This window comes from Homo sapiens, chromosome 5, assembly GCF_000001405.40.
Source record: "Homo sapiens chromosome 5, GRCh38.p14 Primary Assembly".
Taxonomy (NCBI): Eukaryota; Metazoa; Chordata; class Mammalia; order Primates; family Hominidae; genus Homo; species Homo sapiens.
In genome coordinates, this window is record NC_000005.10 from 129607446 (window position 1) to 129627523 (window position 20078).

At 35.1% G+C, this 20078-nt stretch overlaps 1 protein-coding gene across 12 annotated transcripts in view; it reads left to right on the plus strand.

Moving 5' to 3' along the window:
- Window positions 1–20078, plus strand: part of ADAMTS19 (ADAM metallopeptidase with thrombospondin type 1 motif 19) — a 278386-nt gene that overhangs the window by 147148 nt on the left and 111160 nt on the right. For 6 of the 12 annotated variants that reach the window (XR_007058587.1, XM_047416877.1, NM_133638.6 and 3 more), the window contains 2 exons: window positions 13173–13313; window positions 14753–14903. Coding sequence is in view for 11 of the 12 variants with exons in the window: in XM_047416877.1 (XP_047272833.1) it covers window positions 13173–13313; window positions 14753–14903 (292 nt within the window). In the remaining variant the exon portion in view is untranslated. Of the gene's footprint in view, window positions 1–13172; window positions 13314–14752; window positions 14916–20078 lie in introns of all 12 variants that reach the window. The other 6 variants (XM_047416876.1, XM_047416878.1, XM_011543246.3 and 3 more) reach the window with 1 other exon arrangement.

Below are 20078 nucleotides of genomic sequence, written 5' to 3' on the forward strand. Positions count from 1 at the left end.
ATTTGTTGTATGAATGCTCATCTGTTGGTCATCTTGAGGTGCAGGACATAAAGCAATTGAGTCCCAGAGTGGAAGAATCAGTTTGGGTCAAGGAATGCAATTGTCTTGACTAAGTAATATGATTTTATGAGAAAATATGGTTTTATTGCTACACAAATATAATGGCAGTATATTTTTCCCTTTTGGTACGTGATATTTTGAATTCCTGTTTAAGATAAACTGTATGAAAATACAATACTTCAATTATATTTCAGTTATGATGAGTCTAACTTAAAGTCTGGTTATAGGCCTGTCCAACTATTTCATCCAAATCCTAAAGTTATGAATGTGAAAGGGCCAAATCTAGCAATTGTAGTAATAGGAATATTTAATTGAAATTCTGTTAATTCACAACAGGTATGGAAACATACCTGCCAAGATATGAAAACAACCTGCATCTGTTAACAGATGAATGTATAAAGATGGATGTATAAAGAAAATGTGGTGTGTGTGTGTGTATGCATATATATATACACACACATATATATATTTCCATTATATAAACAATTCTATATATATAATGGAATATTTATTATATATGTATTACTATATATGTATATATACACACAACAGAATATTCATTATATAATTGGAATTTTATATATATGTGTGTGTGTGTGTGTGTGTGTGTGTATATATATATATATATATATATAATGGAACATTACTAAGTCTTTAAAAAGAGGGAAATTCTACTATTTGCAACAGTGTGGATGAAACTTGAGGGTATTTTGCTAAGTGAAAAAAGCCAGACACAGAAAAACAAATATTGCATGATCTTATTCATATGTGGAATCTGACAAAAACAAAGTCAAACTCATAGTAACAGAAGAATGGTGGTTACCAGGAGCTGTAGGATGAGGGGAATGGGGAGATACTGGTCAAAGGGTACAATCCTTCAGTCACAAGATGTATAAGTACTGGAGGCCTAATGTACAGCATGATGACTATAGTTAAAGAAGTTAGCATATGCCCCAGGAGGCATACATAGATTTGGTTACACTCTCTCAGCTTCCAAGAAGAGTCCTTTTCAGAAGTGAATTAAATTTGGCACTCATTTGCATTGATGTGCAGTAGTATATCTGCTCTAAGAAGAGAGGATATGCTCTAAGAGGAGATTAGATATACACTAAGAACTAAATAGAGACCAGTTATAATGGCTCACAGTGGAGCACACCTGTACTCCAAGCACTTTGGGAGGCCAAGTCAGGCGGATCACTTGAGTTCAGGAGTTCAAGACCATTCTGGCCACCATGCCAGCTTGAGACCTGAGAATTGCTCAAACCTGGGAGGCAGAGGTTGCAGTGAGCTGAGATCACACCACTGCACTCCAGCCTGGTCAATACAGCAAGACTCTGTCTCAAAAAAAAAAGAAAAAAAAAAAGAGAAGAAAAGAACTAAATAAGAAATGCATATAAAGTATATCATCTCCTAAGACTTTTAGAATGGGAAATAGATGAAATAAGAATAAATTGTTATAACAGGCAAAAACCAAATATGCTCTTCTAGAAATACATTGCTCCTTAAAATGTTGAAAATTAATTTTTTTGTAGTTATTGTTGACCAACTATAATTAGTAATGGCTATCTAAATATACTGTCCCCATTGTACTCTTTAGAATTTTCTACAGCAGATGTCACAGATATCTTCCTCTGACACAAATGCCTTGGTAAATGTTAAAAACTACCTATGTGGATAGTTGAGAGGGAAAGTGCATTATTAGACATACAGCCTTGGGCTTGAATTATTGTTCTGCCAGCTACTTAATGAATGAGCTTTGGATAAATCAATCTGTCTGTATTCATTTCCTTTATTCCTAAAATTTGGATAGTTTTTAATTTCAAGATTCATTGTTAGGGTTTGTGATACTCTAGTGTCATGGCACAATGATTGGCACAAAATACAGAGTGACTGAATAATAACAATAATTAGTAGTATTATAGTTATTTTATGAATACCTTAATGTGAAAAGGAGATTTTCAGCCTTCACTGGCCTTTCATTTTTCTGTTCTTTCTTGGAGTGATTTCATGCCTTTTAGAGGTTTTTAACCAGATTGACAGGAAGTTTACTTATCATGAAGACTTGTAGACCACTAGCACGGCTTTCGTATTTGATATTTTATTTAGACAACGATACCACGTAGAATAATAAGCAATTTTTCCAAGTTAACTTTCATAATGAGACTTCAACCAGTATAGATGTGGCAGCTCTCCCATACCAGATTCTCTCCAAATGTAGGTTTGGATGTTGGAGTGAGTTAGTGGAAGACGGAAAAAAATCACCCAGCAAATGAATGACCTTGGAAGAGATAGCTTTCTGTTTGCAATTCTCTGATGTTTCTTGGCAAATGCATGTCCTAGAGTAAAGCAGGCAATCTTCCTGGAGTAGATCATCTATTAACTTTTTCATGTCACAGTTTCTCTGTGTTGGCAAGAGGCCACAGTAGTTTCACATCTCTAATTGTAGCATATTTGGTGTTTCTATGATCCTATATTAGTTGATAAATCAGTAGACATTTAACAAGACATTCAACTAAATAATTAAAGGAAGTAAAAAGAAAATATAACAACTTCTGTTCTCTGAATGCTTACATTCTAGGTAGTGGTATTATATATATATATATATATATTATTTAAAATTAACCAGAAATACGAGGCAGTTCTGATATGTCTTACACACCATATATGTGAAGGGTGTAGAAGTTAAAGATAATGATAAATATGGGCTATAATTTATTGAATAATCCTTTTTAAAGGCAGAAAGTCTGTGTAAACGCAGATTAGAATGGAAGGTATTCTTTTTTATATATTCTTTTTTATCATACTTTAAGTTCTAGGGTACATGTGCACAATGTGCAGGTTTGTTACATATGTATACATGTGCCATGCTGGTGTGCTGCACCCATTAACTTGTCAGTTACATTGGGTATATCTCCTAATGCTATCCTTCCCCCCTCTACCCACCCCACAATAGTCCCCAGTGTGTGATGTTCCCCTTCCTGTGTCCAAATGTTCTCATTGTTCAATTCCCACCTATGAGTGAGAACATATGGTGTTTGGTTTTTTGTCCTTGCGATAGTTTGCTGAGAATGATGGTTTTCAGCTTCACCCATGTCCCCACAAAGGACATGAACTCATCATTTTTTATGGCTGCATAGTATTCCATGGTGTATATGTGCCACATTTTCTTAATCCAATCTATCACTGTTGGACATTTGGGTTGGTTCCAAGTCTTTGCTATTGTGAATAGTGCCGCAATAAACATACGTGTGCATGTGTCTTTATAGCAGCATGATTTATAATCCTTTGGGTATACACCCAGTAATGGAATGGCTGGGTCAAATGGTATTTCTAGTTCTAGATCCCTGAGGAATCGCCACACTGTCTTCCACAATGGTTGAACTAGTTTACAGTCCCACCAACAGTGTAAAAGTGTTCCTATTTCTCCACATCCTCTCCAGCACCTGTTGTTCCCTGACTTTTTAATGATCGCCATTCTAACTGGTGTGAGATGGTATCTCATTGTGGTTTTGATTTGCATTTGTCTGATGGCCAGTGATGATGAGCATTTTTTCACGTCTGTTGGCTGCATAAATGTCTTCTTTTGAGAAGTGTCTGTTCGTATCCTTCACCCACTGGTTGATGGGGTCGTTTGCTTTTCTCTTGTAAATTTCGTTGAGTTCTTTGTAGATTCTGGATATTAGCCCTTTGTCAGATGAGTAGATTGCAAAAATTTTCTCCCATTCTGTAGGTTGCCTGTCCACTCTGATGGTAGTTTCTTTTGCTGTGCAGAAGCTCTTTAGTTTAATTAGATCCCATTTGTCAATGTTGGCTTTTGTTACCATTGCTTTTGGTGTTTTAGACACGAAGTCCTTGCCCATGCCTATGTCCTGAATGGTATTGCCTGGGTTTTCTTTTCGGGTTTTTATGGTTTTAGGTTTAACATTTAAGTCTTTAATCTATCTTGAATTAATTATTGTATAAGGTGTAAGGAAGGGATCCAGTTACAGCTTTCTACATATGGCTAGCCAGTTTTCCCAGCACCATTTATTAAATAGGGAATCCTTTCCTCATTTATTATTTTTGTCAGATTTGTCAAAGATCAGATGGTTGTAGATGTGTGGTATTATTTCTGAGGGCTCTGTTCTGTTCCATTGGTCTATATCTCTGTTTTGATACCAGTACCATGCTGTTTTGGTTACTGTAGCCTTGTAGTTTAGTTTGAAGTCAGGTAGTGTGATGCCTCCAGCTGTGTTTCTTTTGGAAAGATACTCCTCGAGAAGAACAACTCCAAGACACATAATTGTCAAATTCACCAAAGTTGAAATGAAGGAAAAAATGTTAAGGGCAGCCAGAGAGAAAGGTCGGGTTACCCACAAAGGGAAGCCCGTCAAACTCACAGCTGTTCTCTCCACAGAAAGTCTACAAGCCAGAAGAGAGTGGGGGCTAATATTCAACATTCTTAATTTTTGATCTTTTTTAATCTATTTTATTTTATTATTATTATATTTTAAGTTTTAGGGTACATGTGCACAATGTGCAGTTTGTTACATATGTATACATGTGCCATGTTGGTGTGCTACACCCATTAACTCATCATTTAGCATTAGGTATATGTCCTAATGCTATCCCTCCCCCCTACCCCCACCCCATAACAGTCCCTGGTGTGTGATGTTCCCCTTCCTGTGTCCATGTGTTCTCATTATTCAATTCCCACCTATGAGTGAGAACATACGGTGTTTGGTTTTTTTGTCCTTGCGATAGTTTGCTGAGAATGATGGTTTCCAGTTTCATCCATGTCCCTACAAAGGACATGAACGCATCATTTTTTATGGCTGCATAGTATTCCATGGTGTATATGTGCCACATTTTCTTAATCCAGTCTATCGTTGTTGGACATTTAGGTTGCTTAAAGAAAAGAATTTTCAACCCAGAATTTCATATCCAGCCAAACTAAGCTTCATAAGTGAAGGAGAAATAAAATACTTTAAGACAAGCAAATGCTGAGAGATTTTGTCACCACCAGGCCTTCCTACAAGAGCTCCTGAAGGAAGCACTAAACATGGAAAGGAACAGCTGGTACCAGCCACTGCAAAAACATGCCAAATTGTAAAGAACATCGATGCTAGGAAGAAACTGCATCAACTAAAGAGCAAAATAACCAGCTAACATCATAATGACAGGATCAAATTCACACATAACGATACTAACCTTTAATGTAAATGGGCTAAATGCTCCAATTAAAAGACACAGACTGGCAAATTGGATAAAGAGTCAAGACCCATCAGTGTGCTGTATTCAGGAAACCCATCTCATGTGCAGAGACACACATAGGCTCAAAATAAAGGGATGGAGGAGATCTACAAAGCAAAATGGAAAACAAAAAAGGCAGGGGTTGCAATCCTAGTCTCTGATAAAACAGACTTTAAACCAACAAAGATCAAAAGAGACAAAGAAGGCATTACATAATGGTAAAGGGATCAATTGAAAAAGAAGAGCTAACTATCCTAAATATATATGCACCCAATGCAGGAGCACCCGGATTCATAAAACAAGTCCTTAGAGACCTACAAAGAGACTTAGACTCCCACACAATAATAATGGGAGACTTTAACACCCCACTGTCAACATTAGACAGATCAACGAGACAGAAAGTTAACAAGGATATCCAGGAATTGACCTCAGTGCTGCACAAGTGGACCTAATAGACATCTACAGAACTCTCCACCCCAAATCACAGAATATACATTCTTCTCAGCACCACATCACACTTATGCCAAAATTGACCACATATTTGGAAGTAAAGCACTCTTCAGCAAATGTAAAAGAACAGAAATTATAACAAACTGTCTCTCAGACCACAGTGCAATCAAACTAGAACTCAGGATTAAGAAACTCACTCAAAACCACTTAACTAAATGGAAACTGAACAACCTGTTCCTGAATGACTACTGGGTACATAACGAAATGAAGGCAGAAATAAAGATGTTCTTTGAAACCAACGAGAACAAAGACACAACATACCAGAATCTCTGGGACACATTTAAAGCAGTGTGTAAAGGGAAATTTATAGCACTAAATACCCACAAGAGAAAGCAGGAAAGATCTAAAATTGACACCCTAACATCACAATTAAAAGAATTAGTGAAGCAAGAGCAAACACATTCAAAAGCTAGCAGAAGGCAAGAAATCACTAAGATCAGAGCAGAACTGAAGGAAATAGGGATACAAAAAACCCTTCAAAAAATCAGTGAATCCAGGAGCTGGTTTTTTGAAAAGATCAACAAAATTGATAGACTGCTAGCGAGACTAATAAAGAAGAAAAGAGAGAAGAATCAAATAGACCCAATAAAAAATGATAAAGGGGATATCACCATCGATCCCACAGAAATACAAACTACCATCAGAGAATACTATAAACACCTCTACACAAATAAACTAGAACATCTAGAAGAAATGAATAAATTCCTGGACACATACACCCTCTCAAGACTAAACCAGGAAGAAGTTGAATCTCTGAATAGACCAATAACAGGCTCTGAAATTGAAGCAATAATTAATAGCCTACCAACCAAAAAAAGTCCAAGACCAGACGGATTCACAGCAGAATTCTACCAGAGGTACAAGGAGGAGCTGGTACCATTCCTTCTGAAACTATTCCAATCAATAGAAAAAGAGGGAATCCTCCCTAACTCATTTTATGAGGCCAGCATCATCATAATACCAAAGCCTGGCAGAGACACACAAAAAAAGAGAATTTTAGACCAATATCCCTGATGAACATCAGAGCAAAAATCTTCAATAAAATACTGGCAAACTGAATGCAGCAGCACATCAAAAAGCTTATCCACCATGATCAAGTGGGCTTCATCCCTGGGATGCAAGGCTGGTTCAACATACGAAAATCAATAAACGTAATCCAGCATATAAACAGAACCAAAGACAAAAACCACATGATTATCTCAATAGATGCAGAAAAGGCCTGTGACAAAATTCAACAGTCCTTCATGCTAAAAACTCTCAATAAATTAGGTCTTGATGGGACGTATCTCAAAATAATAAGAGATATTTATGACAAACCCACAGCCAATATCATACTGAATGGGCAAAAACTGGAAGCATTCCCTTTGAAAACTGGCACAAGACAGGGATGTACTCTCTCACCACTCCTATTCAATCTAGTGTTGGAAGTTCTGGCCAGGGCAATCAGGCAGGAGAAAGAAATAAAGGGTATTCAATTAGGAAAAGAGGAAGTCAAATTGTCCCTGTTTGCAGACGACATGATTGTATATCTAGAAAACCCCATTGTCTCAGCCCAAAATCTCCTTAAGCTGATAAGCAACTTCAGCCAAGTCTCAGGATACAAAAGCAATGTGCAAAAATCACAAGCATTCTTATACACCAATAACAGACAAACAGAGAGCCAAATCATGAGTGAACTCCCATTCACAATTGATTCAACGAGAATGAAATACCTAGGAATCCAACTTACAAGGGACGTGAAGGACCTCTTCAAGGAGAACTACAAACCACTGCTCAGCAAAATAAAAGAGGATACAAACAAATGGAAGAACATTCCATGCTCATGGATAGGAAGAATCAGTATCGTGAAAATGGCCATACTGCCCAAGGTAATTTATAGATTCAATGCCATCCCCATCAAGCTACCAATGACTTTCTTCACAGAATTGGAAAAAACTACTTTAAAGTTCATATGGAACCAAAAAAGAGCCCACATTGCCAAGACAACCCTAAGCCAAAAGAATGGAAGGTATTCTAATGGAAAGGAACTATACAAAAGGTTAGGCTGGAATTAACTATGAAAATCAGATTGATATCAGTTTACAGATATTTTGAATAATGAGATAAAGAGTGGATTTCATCCTGTAGATCATTGCTTTCCAGAATTTTAAGTAAATAAGAATCATCTAAAAATGTATCAAAATGCCATTTCTTAGACCTTACCTCTAAATATTCTATTTTAATTCGTTGGGGGCAGGCCCATGAATCTGCATTTTAACTACTCTAATGTCCTCATGCCCTATGATTCTGATGCAAGTGGTTCATTATTAACATTTTTAGAATCTCTGTTTGCCAGGGCAAATGAAAAGTTTTTGCATAGGAAACTAGCTTTTTTATATTAATACACTCATAAGAACTAGCACCATTAAAGCATGGTTTAAGAGGCAAAGAGTTAAAGAGCAGGAGGACAATCAGGCAGACAGTACAATAATCTAGAAGTAAAAAGAATCAGCACCAATTTTGGTTGATAGCAATAGAATTGAAAAGGGGCAGATAAGTAAGTAGTAGAGGTTTAAGGAATATAGGACTAACAGGATCCAGGCATCCATTGGCTATCCAAGAGCAAGGGATAGTGTTCCAATCCCAGTAGATAATACACTCTTTGAATGTAGGAACTGAGTCTTACTTATCTTTTTGACTACAGTTCAGCACAGTAGTGGGTTCTCAACAAGTGTATGTGCATTGTTAGATAAACCTGTAATATAATGCACGACAACGTCAAAAGGAATCTCTTTTTGTACCTCTACTTTTCTTCTTTTAACCTCTAATTTTTTACCTTGCTTTTATATAGCCTTTTGACTTGCCAGTAAAAGTAGGTTTCATTGTTTGTGCAAATTGAAATGACTTAAAATATAAAAGGAAATATGATACAAAAATATATTGTATATCTGAATGTCTGAATTTTTTCTCCATGAACACACAATAGTGAAATTATATAGACTTAGATATACCACTGAATTCTAAGAAATATGTAATTAAATGTCATTTTGTATAAATATAATCTACTTCCAGTAAGACATTGTAATAGTTTGTTTCTTTCTTTTATTAATGTTTCCACATAATATATGGCTTTAGTGGGAAATATTATGTCATAAAATGCTTAATGTATTCAGCATAAAAAGCCTACTCTTTTAAAATATTACTGTTTACAAATCAGATCCTTTCCAAATTATCCAAAAAAATGAGTGAATTCATAAGGCTTCTCCTCCCTAATTCTTTGAACATCAAAAGGGACCATCTTCAAAATCCAAATGCTTCTCCAGCTTTCCGCAGGATATCACAAAACTTCCTGGCAAAGATTTTTAAACAAGCTGAGAAGTTTTATAAGATAAAAATATTTTTTCAGTTGACTTGACAACCATGTACAATGTTAGTGAAGAGTTTATTTGCCCAAGGCTCTTTGTCAAAATGAATTTAAACTGAGATTATTAAAATGTAGTTCAATTGCAGTGTGAGGAGAGGTGTTGCTGATGTCTTACTTAGAGAATGTTTTCCATGCAATGCATGTGACTTGGTTACAAGGTTCTACATGTAGAGGTACATTTCTGCTAAAAGAACAGAGGCATTTAAAATTATTCAGAAAACAATAAATCATCTCCAAAAGTGAGAGTTTTGATCCAGAAAGAAAAGCACCATTGTGTGGTAGTTTAGAGGTTCATCTGTGTGAGCATCAAACTGCCCGGATTTGAGTCACAGCTTCACCATTAACCTCAGCACCTTCCTCATTTGTAAAATAGAAGTCATGATAATAGATACATTATGGGAATATTGTGAGGATTAAGTGATATCATTGTCAGTGGTTAATAGAGTAGCTGGCACAGATTAAGGAACACAATTAATTGTTTTATTTCAAACCTGTAGAGTCAGGACTAAGCATTGTTTCCTGATAATTCCAGATGTGTGCTTAAAAAAGCCTGTCCCAATTTAATGATAATCTTTTCTGTTATGAGTTAAATGGCTTTAGGAAAATTTAACTACTGGTAAACAATGCTTGAATCACCAGACCTCCCCATGGCTGAAGCTAATTTCTTACATCAGAATCAGGACCAGGATCACAAAAGGAAAATGATTATCTGGATGAGAGGTTGTAATCATCCATATTTGGAAAATCCTATTACACTATGTTGGGAAAATGTCCAAATTGCCAAATCTTGGAAGCAATCCCTCTCCTTCCCTCATTGGGACACATTATTTAGGAAGGTTTATTATTTTTGAGAAAGACTAGTTACCCTTCAAAAATAATAGCATTTGTGTATGGTTTGAAAGATTATGCCACCACAGATGGAAGAGTCAAGCACGTTCCACATGGCAAGTGTTTGTTAATTAACAGGTCACCCATTGATGTGGGCTGTAGCCAGAATCCATGGCAGAGAGGAGACAGGACACTGATGGGCTGCATTTGAACCACACAGTTAGAATTACATTAAGCCACTTTTACTGATTTGTGATATTATGTCATATTTATAATTTCTTATTTTAACTTAATATCTAAGTAAATTCTTTTGATTGTTATTTTCTTGGTTTTTCTGAAGGGCACACTTTCACCAAAGAAAGCAAAATACAGCAAAGTGAATTTAATATAATTAATGATAAATCTGTTTATGTATCTTTTGACAAATTAGAATCATATAATAAAATTTCTCTGATTTATTTCCCCAGTATAGAGGATCATTATGGTCTGTCTGTATTCCAGGCACTGGTCAGGCACTACATATCATGTGATGCAGTCATCACAACAAATCAGTCAAGGAAGTATATTTAACAAATAAGGCAACTGAGGCAGGTTTATTTATTGTTAAATTGCCTTTGGTCACATTAACAAGGGGAAGATGCAGAGATTAAATCACTTTCTACCTTCAACATCTTTTTACTCTGCCTTCTAATATTTTAATTGAACTGGTTCATACCTATTTCATATAATCTCTTATTTTTCCTCTTTATCTTCAAAGTATGAAAACATTTATCTTCCTATTTTCTCTGTTGTTTATTCTATTAATATGTGTTGCTACAGACTCTATTTGAAGAAATTAATTAGAATAGGAAAGACAAGTATGATTCACTGGTGAATTTTTCTAACACCAAAAGTGAAAAGTAATATTCAATAATGTGTTTTAGTTTTATTTATACCAGAATTTTTATAGTTAAATTTAGCATGGTGATAGAATTAGTCTTAATTCATTAATGATATGGATGGAATTTATTTATTCCTTTCATATTATCTTCTTCCTTCAAAAACATATTTAATTTTAACAATTTTGATTCAAACTCATAATTCATCTTAAAAATATAGTTTGGTAGTTTTTAAAAATTTTATTTTGATTTGCAGAAACATAGATACTCTCATTGTAATTTCCCTTAGCAATTTCTATAACAGTTCTTTTAATTTCATGTTTTAAAACACAATATAGATATTCTTGTGAATTTTTCATTATGAAAACAATTTTATTTAATATCTAGACCATAACAGAAAAGAGAATAATGGACTATCCTGCCATTATCTCAGGCTATGCATGTACAAAAATGGACTTTTCTCTGCTTCTTCAGTACTAACCCTCATCCACAAAAATATTTTACTGGCCTCATTTATGAGAATTCACAAGAGACTATATAATTTTTTTTCTACATGATCATTGAACCCATGATTCAACATTGGTTACAGAGTCTCAAGAATTTGGAGAGTGAACCAAAAGTAAAAATTTATAATGCAGTATAGAAAATGCTGTAACAATGTTGTTCACAGAATCCTATGTTGTTTCCAGAAGAGATAGTACAAATGGGTGAGGTAGGGGATAGTGAAAGAAAACCTGATAGAAGTAAACTGCATTAATGTTGATGATTAAGTAGAATTTGAGTTTGTCCAGGCAAAGGAGCTGAAGGAGAGGCACTTTAGACAGCATATGGGGTTGCAGGATGGAATTTATAGACGCCCAATGTGGAATGGTTAATCATATGAGTTCTAGAGCCAGGCACCTCAGTTCAAACATTATTACTTTCCAATTTCTCAATGTATAATCTTGGACAAGTTACTTCTCATCTGCAAAATGCATATTATAATCATTTCTACCACATTTGGTTGTTTAACTCAAGTTTATAAATTCCCTTATATGATTTATGATACCTAGAAAATGCTAAGTAACAATTAACTGCAAGAAAATAAGAAACAACATAATGTTTGGGAAACTACAAGTCATTTGGTATTGCTGAAGTAAAAAACTAATAATGATGTCGAAGAATATGAAGGGGATATGTATCATGTTAAAGAGCTGGAAATTGTCTTATGGATAATGAGAAAACATAGGAATGGCATAGGCAGATTGTGTTTTAAATAGATCTCACTGGAGCAGGGTAGGAGGAGGGGAAGGGAGAATGTTGGTAAAGATTAGAGGGACAGAATTCAGGTACAATACCATAAAAATTCAAGACTTTGTATATACTGTCATAAGGATACGATACAATAATTTTAATAGTAACTATAGGATAGAAGGGAGATGACAGTTGAGTGAAACACTTAGAAGGTAGAGTTGGCAAGGCTTGCCTCTAACAGTAAACAAAATAGAGGCTATGTGATAATTCAGGAAAGGAAAAAAATAAATGATGACTTGAAGATTCTTTATTTGGTGGAACTTAGTAGCTAGCAAAAGCATAAAAAGAGAGCAAGAGAAAAATAGAATAGAGGAGTAAGTAGAGAATTGAAAGAGAAAGTAAGAAAGGCAGTCTTTAGACGTACTAAATTGAAGGTATTTCTAGAACATCTATTTAGAAATAAGTCCGACTTTTAGAATAGAATTTCAACAGATTCAGGATTCATTAAAAAAAGACAAAGAAGGCCAGGATAATTTGTGCTATATGATGTGGGAGGAAGAAGATGGTCTAATGAAAGACATAGGAAATTAATAGATTAATGAGGTTTCAAATTTGGTAAAAGATGTGTTTGTTTTCAAATCAAATTTTGAAGAAAATTTGATTCAGGCAACAGCAAGAATCTAGTGTGGTTAAACATAAATGTATTATTTCTGAGTTTCATACATACTATTATGCAAAGAATATATCTGTAGGTCATTTCCGTATAAAGGACCTAAACATGTCATTTTATAGGTTGATTAGGGAAATGTTTTTTATTAAATAAAAATATTTACCTTAAATTGGGGTAACAAAATTTAAAAAGTTAACTTAATCTGAAATCTAATTTTATTTTGAAACTAATTTCCTTAAAACAAATTTGGCCCCCAGTATTTTAAGTATTTTAACCGTTATTTAACTGCAGTTATAAAAAGTTAACAAGTAACATTTACTTAGTGTAAATTTTAAAATTTTATTATATTCCAAATCAGCATGGGCATTAACCATGACAATGACCACCCATCGTGTGCTGATGGTCTTCATATCATGTCTGGTGAATGGATTAAAGGACAGAATCTTGGTGACGTTTCATGGTCTCGATGTAGCAAGGAAGATTTGGAAAGATTTCTCAGGTATGGAGGTCACTTATTGTTTTTGCCTTGTGAATGATTATGTGTGCTGTTTCTTTTTACAAATAGAGAAGCCAGTGTGGCAAAGTGGAAAGGCCACCAGAGTAAAACTGAAGGTACTTGGTTCCAATCCTGGCTTTTCCATTAACTCATGGTGTAGTTTGGGACATGTTATTTAACCCCCTGCTTTTTAATTTCTACATTTTTCAAAAAGGACAGTTAAGATTATTTGTAAGATTGAAAAATTGTTATCATGATTTTAAAAATCTGTCACAGTATTTAATTGCCTTTTCAATTTTGCCCAGTGGAAATATTCACACTGTTCATCACCCAGCACGTCTATTATCACGAAGATCAGGGCCCCTCTAACAAAATCTTCACTTTTCGTTTGTAATACATCTACACTTCTAATGTTTTTTCATTAATAAATAGTTTCCACCATTATCATAGCCCTTTCCATGTTCAGTGGCAGTAACACTTAGCTTCTGTCTTGTTCGAAAAGTAAATGAAAAATATTACTGTTATTCTCATTTTCATTTTAAAGCACTTGTTCATTTTAAAGCACTTATTTCTATAATTATAGAAGGATCACCTGAAGCAGTAAGCAATATGCAAAGTAGTTAGTGAGATGTTTAAGGTATCCAAAACAAGTCTTAGTGAGAAATACAGGAACACCTAGCTTGCTAAACTCACTACACAGATGAACTTTATTCACTTTTGTATATCCTTTAAATAGTTAAGCCCATTTTTCTATTAAATGGCTATATGTACAATATATTCTGTGCATGCTGTTTGTCATAACAGTCTAGAGAAGAGCACTCAGAGCATGTGATATTTCAGACACACCATCAGTAGCTGCATCAGCAGCCCTTCTGTAGGCCCTAATGAGTTCCTAAGGAACATGCATGATTTTGTATGGCTGCCTTCACATGAATCAGGACTCCTATGACATCAAATACCACTTTAAAATATATTACAGAGTTGTATACAAAGTTGTATTACAATGTCAAGCACAAATATATCTACACTGTTAATATTCACCTGAGGATGCTTTCCATACATTCTTTAAATCCCCAAATATAGCTGATATCTTATATTCACATACTACTTTTGGGCAAGTTACTCTCTGACTCTGAGCCTGTATACCTATTAAATGCATAAAATAACACCCACTTCACAATGTTATGTAGATCAGCTGAGTTAATTCATATGAATGTGTTTTGTACACCATAAAGTTCTTTTAACTTGAAAATTATTTATTACGATTATCTTCATTGTAAATAAATGATTTTTGACATATAGAATAATTTCTATGAGTATTCAATGGAAGAGCTTAGAGATATATTTTTGATATTATTAAAGTGTTTCTTGTTGTATGCTAACCAATCATATCAGCTTTTTACATTAAATTCAAAAGTTTACACATACCTGCCTATTGCCAGGTCAAAGGCCAGTAACTGCTTGCTACAAACAAATCCGCAGAGTGTCAATTCTGTGATGGTTCCCTCCAAGCTGCCAGGGATGACATACACTGCTGATGAACAATGCCAGATCCTTTTTGGGCCATTGGCTTCTTTTTGTCAGGAGATGCAGGTAAAGATCCAGGTGGGGATTTTGTGCGTTCATTCATTGTTTAGAAGTATTGATTGGTAGGAGAAGGTAACATTATTTTAGGGTTTGTGGATCAAAAGCACCCCAATATATAAAAGAAGGATTTTCTAAGAAAAGGTTTGTGCATTTTTTTCTTATACTTTGGAAGCGATAGAAATAAGATGTGAGCATTTAATCAAAGTGAATAAAGAAAGACCTAATAATTTCTACTTTGAAAATTACATTGATATCAGGGAAGTATTTTTATTACGTCAGTTCAATGCTTCTATTTTAAATCCCATACAGTTTTCTCTCCATTATCTGCAGGAATTGGTTTCAGTACCCACATCCTGTTCCCTGAGCAGATACCAAAACTCCCAGCTGCTAAAGTCCCTTATGAAAAATAATGTAGTATTTGCATATAACCTACCCACATCCTCCCAAATACTTTAAATCATCCCTAGATTACTTACAGAACTTGATACATTGTAAATGCTATGTAATTATTATACTATGTTATTTTATTATTTGTATTATTTATATTGTTGTATTGTTCTTTTTTTTAAATTTGTTTTTATCTGTGGTTGGTTGGATCCCTGGATGTGGAAACTACAAACGGGGAGGGCCAACTGTATTTTCTTATATGGAAATGGGTAAAAATGCGATATGAAAATATAATTGATAAAAATGCAATAATATGAACATGTAATTGTGGAGGAGGAACTATACATTTTAATCCTGAAAATAAATTTTTAGAAGTATCTTTTATAGGAACAAAAATTAAGAGAGTACATTTCTACATAAACTGGAAGAAAAGGGAAAATGTATAATGGTAAAGCAGTGTTTATGTATTAATATTCCAGTAGTCAGTAATTACTCAGAGAGAACAGTAGTGTTAGGTCCTTAAAATCTAAAGGATGAAGCAAAATGACCTTCTTAACTGATGGAAGAGTTTAAGCTCTAGTAACCTTTTTTTTTCTTTCCTGCTGCCCATCCCCTATCTGCCCATCTCCTCTCGCCTCTTCCTAACACACACACATACACATTGTACTTCAGGAATAAACTGATAACCACACTGAGAGTAAATTGGTTAAGTATCGCTGAAACATAGCCTATTTTACCCAGCCACAGTTTCTGTGAATGCCTCAAAGGAGTTTGGCTTTGTTGAGGATAATGCTGTTTTGGGTAACTGTCAGCATAATTAAGATGCTTTATAACGAACAAAGCATATGACATTATAATTTATTGAATGCTCTCTTTGGTTTGTGGTTCTTATTAAAAGAGTTGTGCACTTATTTGTTTATTAATTGCTTTTGATCAGTTTCACCCACCAGTATGTAAGCTGCATGAGGGCAGAGTGAGTTTCTCCAGCATCTAGCCTAGGGACTGGCACAGAGTAAGTGAAATATCCAGTGAACAAATGATTTAGAATTAAAATGAGTGAATGTATGGAGTTGGAGCTGCATCAGATGTGATGTGTAAAAGGCTGTATGGACCAGGCGAGGTGGCTCACACCTGTAATCCCAGCACTTTGGGAGGCCGAGACGGGCGGATCACGAGGTCAGGAGATCGAGACCATCCTGGCTAACACGGTGAAACCCCATCTCTCCTAAAAATATAAAAAAAAAAAAATTAGCTGGGCATGGTGGCGGGCACCTGTAGTCCCAGCTACTCAGGAGGCTGAGGCAGGAGAATGGTGTGAACCTGGGAGGTGGAGCTTGCAGTGAGCCGAGAACGCGCCACTGCACTCCGGCCTGGACTACAGAGTGAGGCTCAGTCTCAAAAAAAAAAAAAAAAAAAAAAAAAAAGGCTGTACGGACTATGGAGCTTGAAAGGAAATGGTGTTGCTATGTAATTGTGATCTAATTCCAAAGGGTTTACATGTGGCACAGTCATGGATCCTTGGAACTCCACATCGTGTGTGACAATTATGACATTGGTTCTGTAAGGTCTGTCTCCGGTACCTCTCTGACCTCATCTACTAACCTCCACTCTGCTTTCACCTCTGAGTCTTTAGACAATCAAAAGTCTGGTCACAATCCTCTTTCTTAAATCTTCATGGTAAAATGAAAGATTTTGAGGTACAAAGGTTTGGGTTTGTGGGCAGACACTTTTACAGGCTGAAGTTACTATTATTTTAGGCAACAAAATAGGCTCTTTGTGGTCACTGTCACTGGAGCATTGCACAGGAGACAGTTTCAGTTCATGTGGTATAGAGAATTGATAGAACTGATCAATGGATCAGTTCATCCAAAATGTTCATATTTTATAAAGCATTCCTACTGTAAAAGCTCAGTAGATGATCAACTACACACGATTCTGTTAAATTGTAGATTCTTTTCCATAAATACTATTTTACAAGCTTTTAGAAATTATTTTAATATATCACATGCAATTAAATTTTGCTAGTGCCATTCTACAATGTTTTGACCTCTGAATATCTTCCACATAATGTGTTTAATTATTTATTTTATGATGTAATTTGACACTTTTTTCTTTTTTTATTATACTTGAAGTTCTAGGGTACATGTGCACAATGTGCAGGTTTGTTACATATGTATACATGTGCCATGTTGGTTTGCTGCACCCATTAACTCATCATTTACATTAGGTATTTCTCCTAATGCTGTCCTTCCCCCATCCCCCCACCCCACAACAGGCCCTGGTGTATGATATTTTCCCCGCCCTCTGTCCAAGTGTTCTCATTGTTCAATTTCGACCTATGAGTGAGAACATGGGTTGTTTGGTTTTCTGACCTTGCAATAGTTTGCTCAGAATGATGGTTTCCAGCTTCATCCATGTAGCTACAAAGGAAATGAATGCATCCTTTTTATGACTGCATAGTATTCCATGGTGTATATGTGCCACATTTTCTTAATCCAGTCTATCACTGATGGACATTTGGGTTGGTTCCAAGTCTTTGCTATTGTGAATAGTGCCACAATAAACATATGTGTGCATGTGTCTTTATAGCAGCATGGTTTATAATCCTTTAGGTATATACCCAGTAATGGGATCACTGTGTCAAATGGTATTTCTAGTTCTAGATCCTTGAGGAATCGCCACACTGTCTTCCACAGTGGTTGAACTAGTTTACAGTCCCACCAACAGTGTAAAAGCATTCCTGTTTCTCCACATTCTCTCCAGCACCTGTTGTTTCCTTACTTTTTAATGATTGCCATTCTAACTGGTGTGAGATGGTATCTCATTGTGGTTTTGATTTTGTTTTTCATTTCTCTGATGGCCAGTGATAATGAGCATTTTTTCATGTGTCTGCTGTCTGCATAAATGTCTTCTTTTGAAAAGTGTCTGGTCATATCCTTTGCCCACTTTTTAATGGGGTTGTTTGATTTTTTCTTGTAAATTTGTTTAAGTTCTTTGTAGATTCTGGATATTATACCTTTGTCAGATGGGTAGATTGCAAAAATTTTCTCCCATTCTGTAGGTTGCCTGTTCACTCTGATGGTAGTTTCTTTTGCTGTGCAGAAGCTCTTTAGTTTAATTAGATCCCATTTGTCTATTTTGGCTTTTGTTGCCATTGCTTTTGGTGTTTTAGTCCTGAAGTCCTTGCCCATGCCTATGTCCTGAATGGTATTACCTAGGTTTTCTTCTAGGGTTTTTATGGTTTTAGGTCTAACATTTAAAATTAATTCAAGATGGATTAAAGACTTAAATGTTAGACCTAAAACCATAATTTGATTCTTATAACCATTAAATACCATATTGTCTAGTCCTATTTTACAAATCAACAATTTGAGGTCTAGAGCAGTTAAATAATACTTTGAAGTTCTTATACCTATTAACAGAGAATGCTAGATCCAAACTCAGATTATGTCTAAATCCCAAAAATCAGATGCTCTCCAGTCTCCTATGGAACTCAAACTTCTTTATATGCTATATTGTCTTCTCTATGGAAAAACCCTTAGATCAGATCTCATATTTAAACTAATTTTTTTGTCTCCTATAGCACCTATACTATCAGTTTTAACCAGTATCTTAATTGATTCATTTTGCTAAACTATTTGCTCTATTTATATGATTATTTCCCAATAACCTACCTGCACAGATTTTTTCCTTGATCTCTGAAAATATGATTGTTTATTTAGGTTTTTTAAATCTGTTTCTCAGTATCCTAGGATGTTGCCTTGTTTTAAAACTACACATTGTGCTAATAAAGTTTTAGGTTTAAGGTTTCCAGAAATGTTCTCCTTTTTATTTTCTCTCCACTCTTATACTCCAGTCCCAAATCAGTACAGCATGTAAAGTGTAGTAACCTAATAGACGATAGATAGGTAGCTAGAACCATGGAAAAGATAATTTACATATTTAGTCATTGATTTGACAAATATTTATTAAGTTCCAACTACTTTCCAGGCACTGTATGAAGCACAAATAATACAGCAGGAATCAAAGATCCTACCTCCATGGAACTTACATTTTAGTTGGAGGAAATATAAGCAAATGCATATCTAATATGTTAGTTGATGATAATTGTTTAGAAGAAATATAAACTCAGGTAAAACAGGAAGTACTACCAAGGTAGATGGTTAGGATGGTGTTATTTCTTATAAGGTGACCTGGGAAAGTTTCCTAGAAAGGTGACATTTGTTTAGAGATCTGAAGAAAGTGGGAGAACAAGCTATGCATTTATCTTGGGAGGAATACAGCAAGAGAAAACAGAATGCAAAATGCCCTGGAATTCATTGTGGGTCATGTCGTGAGATGCCCATTACACATCCAAGTAGGAATGTAAGCAGGTCCATGATATATATTTGGAAGTCATTAAGAAGTATAAGATATTGGGGACATGATACTAAATAACAATTGCAAGTGAGTTAGAAAAGTTTCAAGGACTAAGACCCAGGTCAATGCAATATTTAGAGTTTAGGAAAATGAGGAGAAAGAAGAAATAAAATGCCGAAGTATATTGAGGTAGGAATAGAACCAAAGCAAATTAAGATCTTGGAGGTAATATGAGGAGGATATTTTTGAAAGAGAGATTGATCAGCTGTATCAAAAGCTGAAGACTTAAATGTAAAACCTAAAACTGTAAAAACCCTGGAAAACAACCTAGGCAATACTGGTCTGGACATAGGAATGAGCAAAGATTTCATGACAAAGATTCCAAAAGGAATTTCCACAAAAATAAAATTTGACAAATGGGACCTAATTAAACTT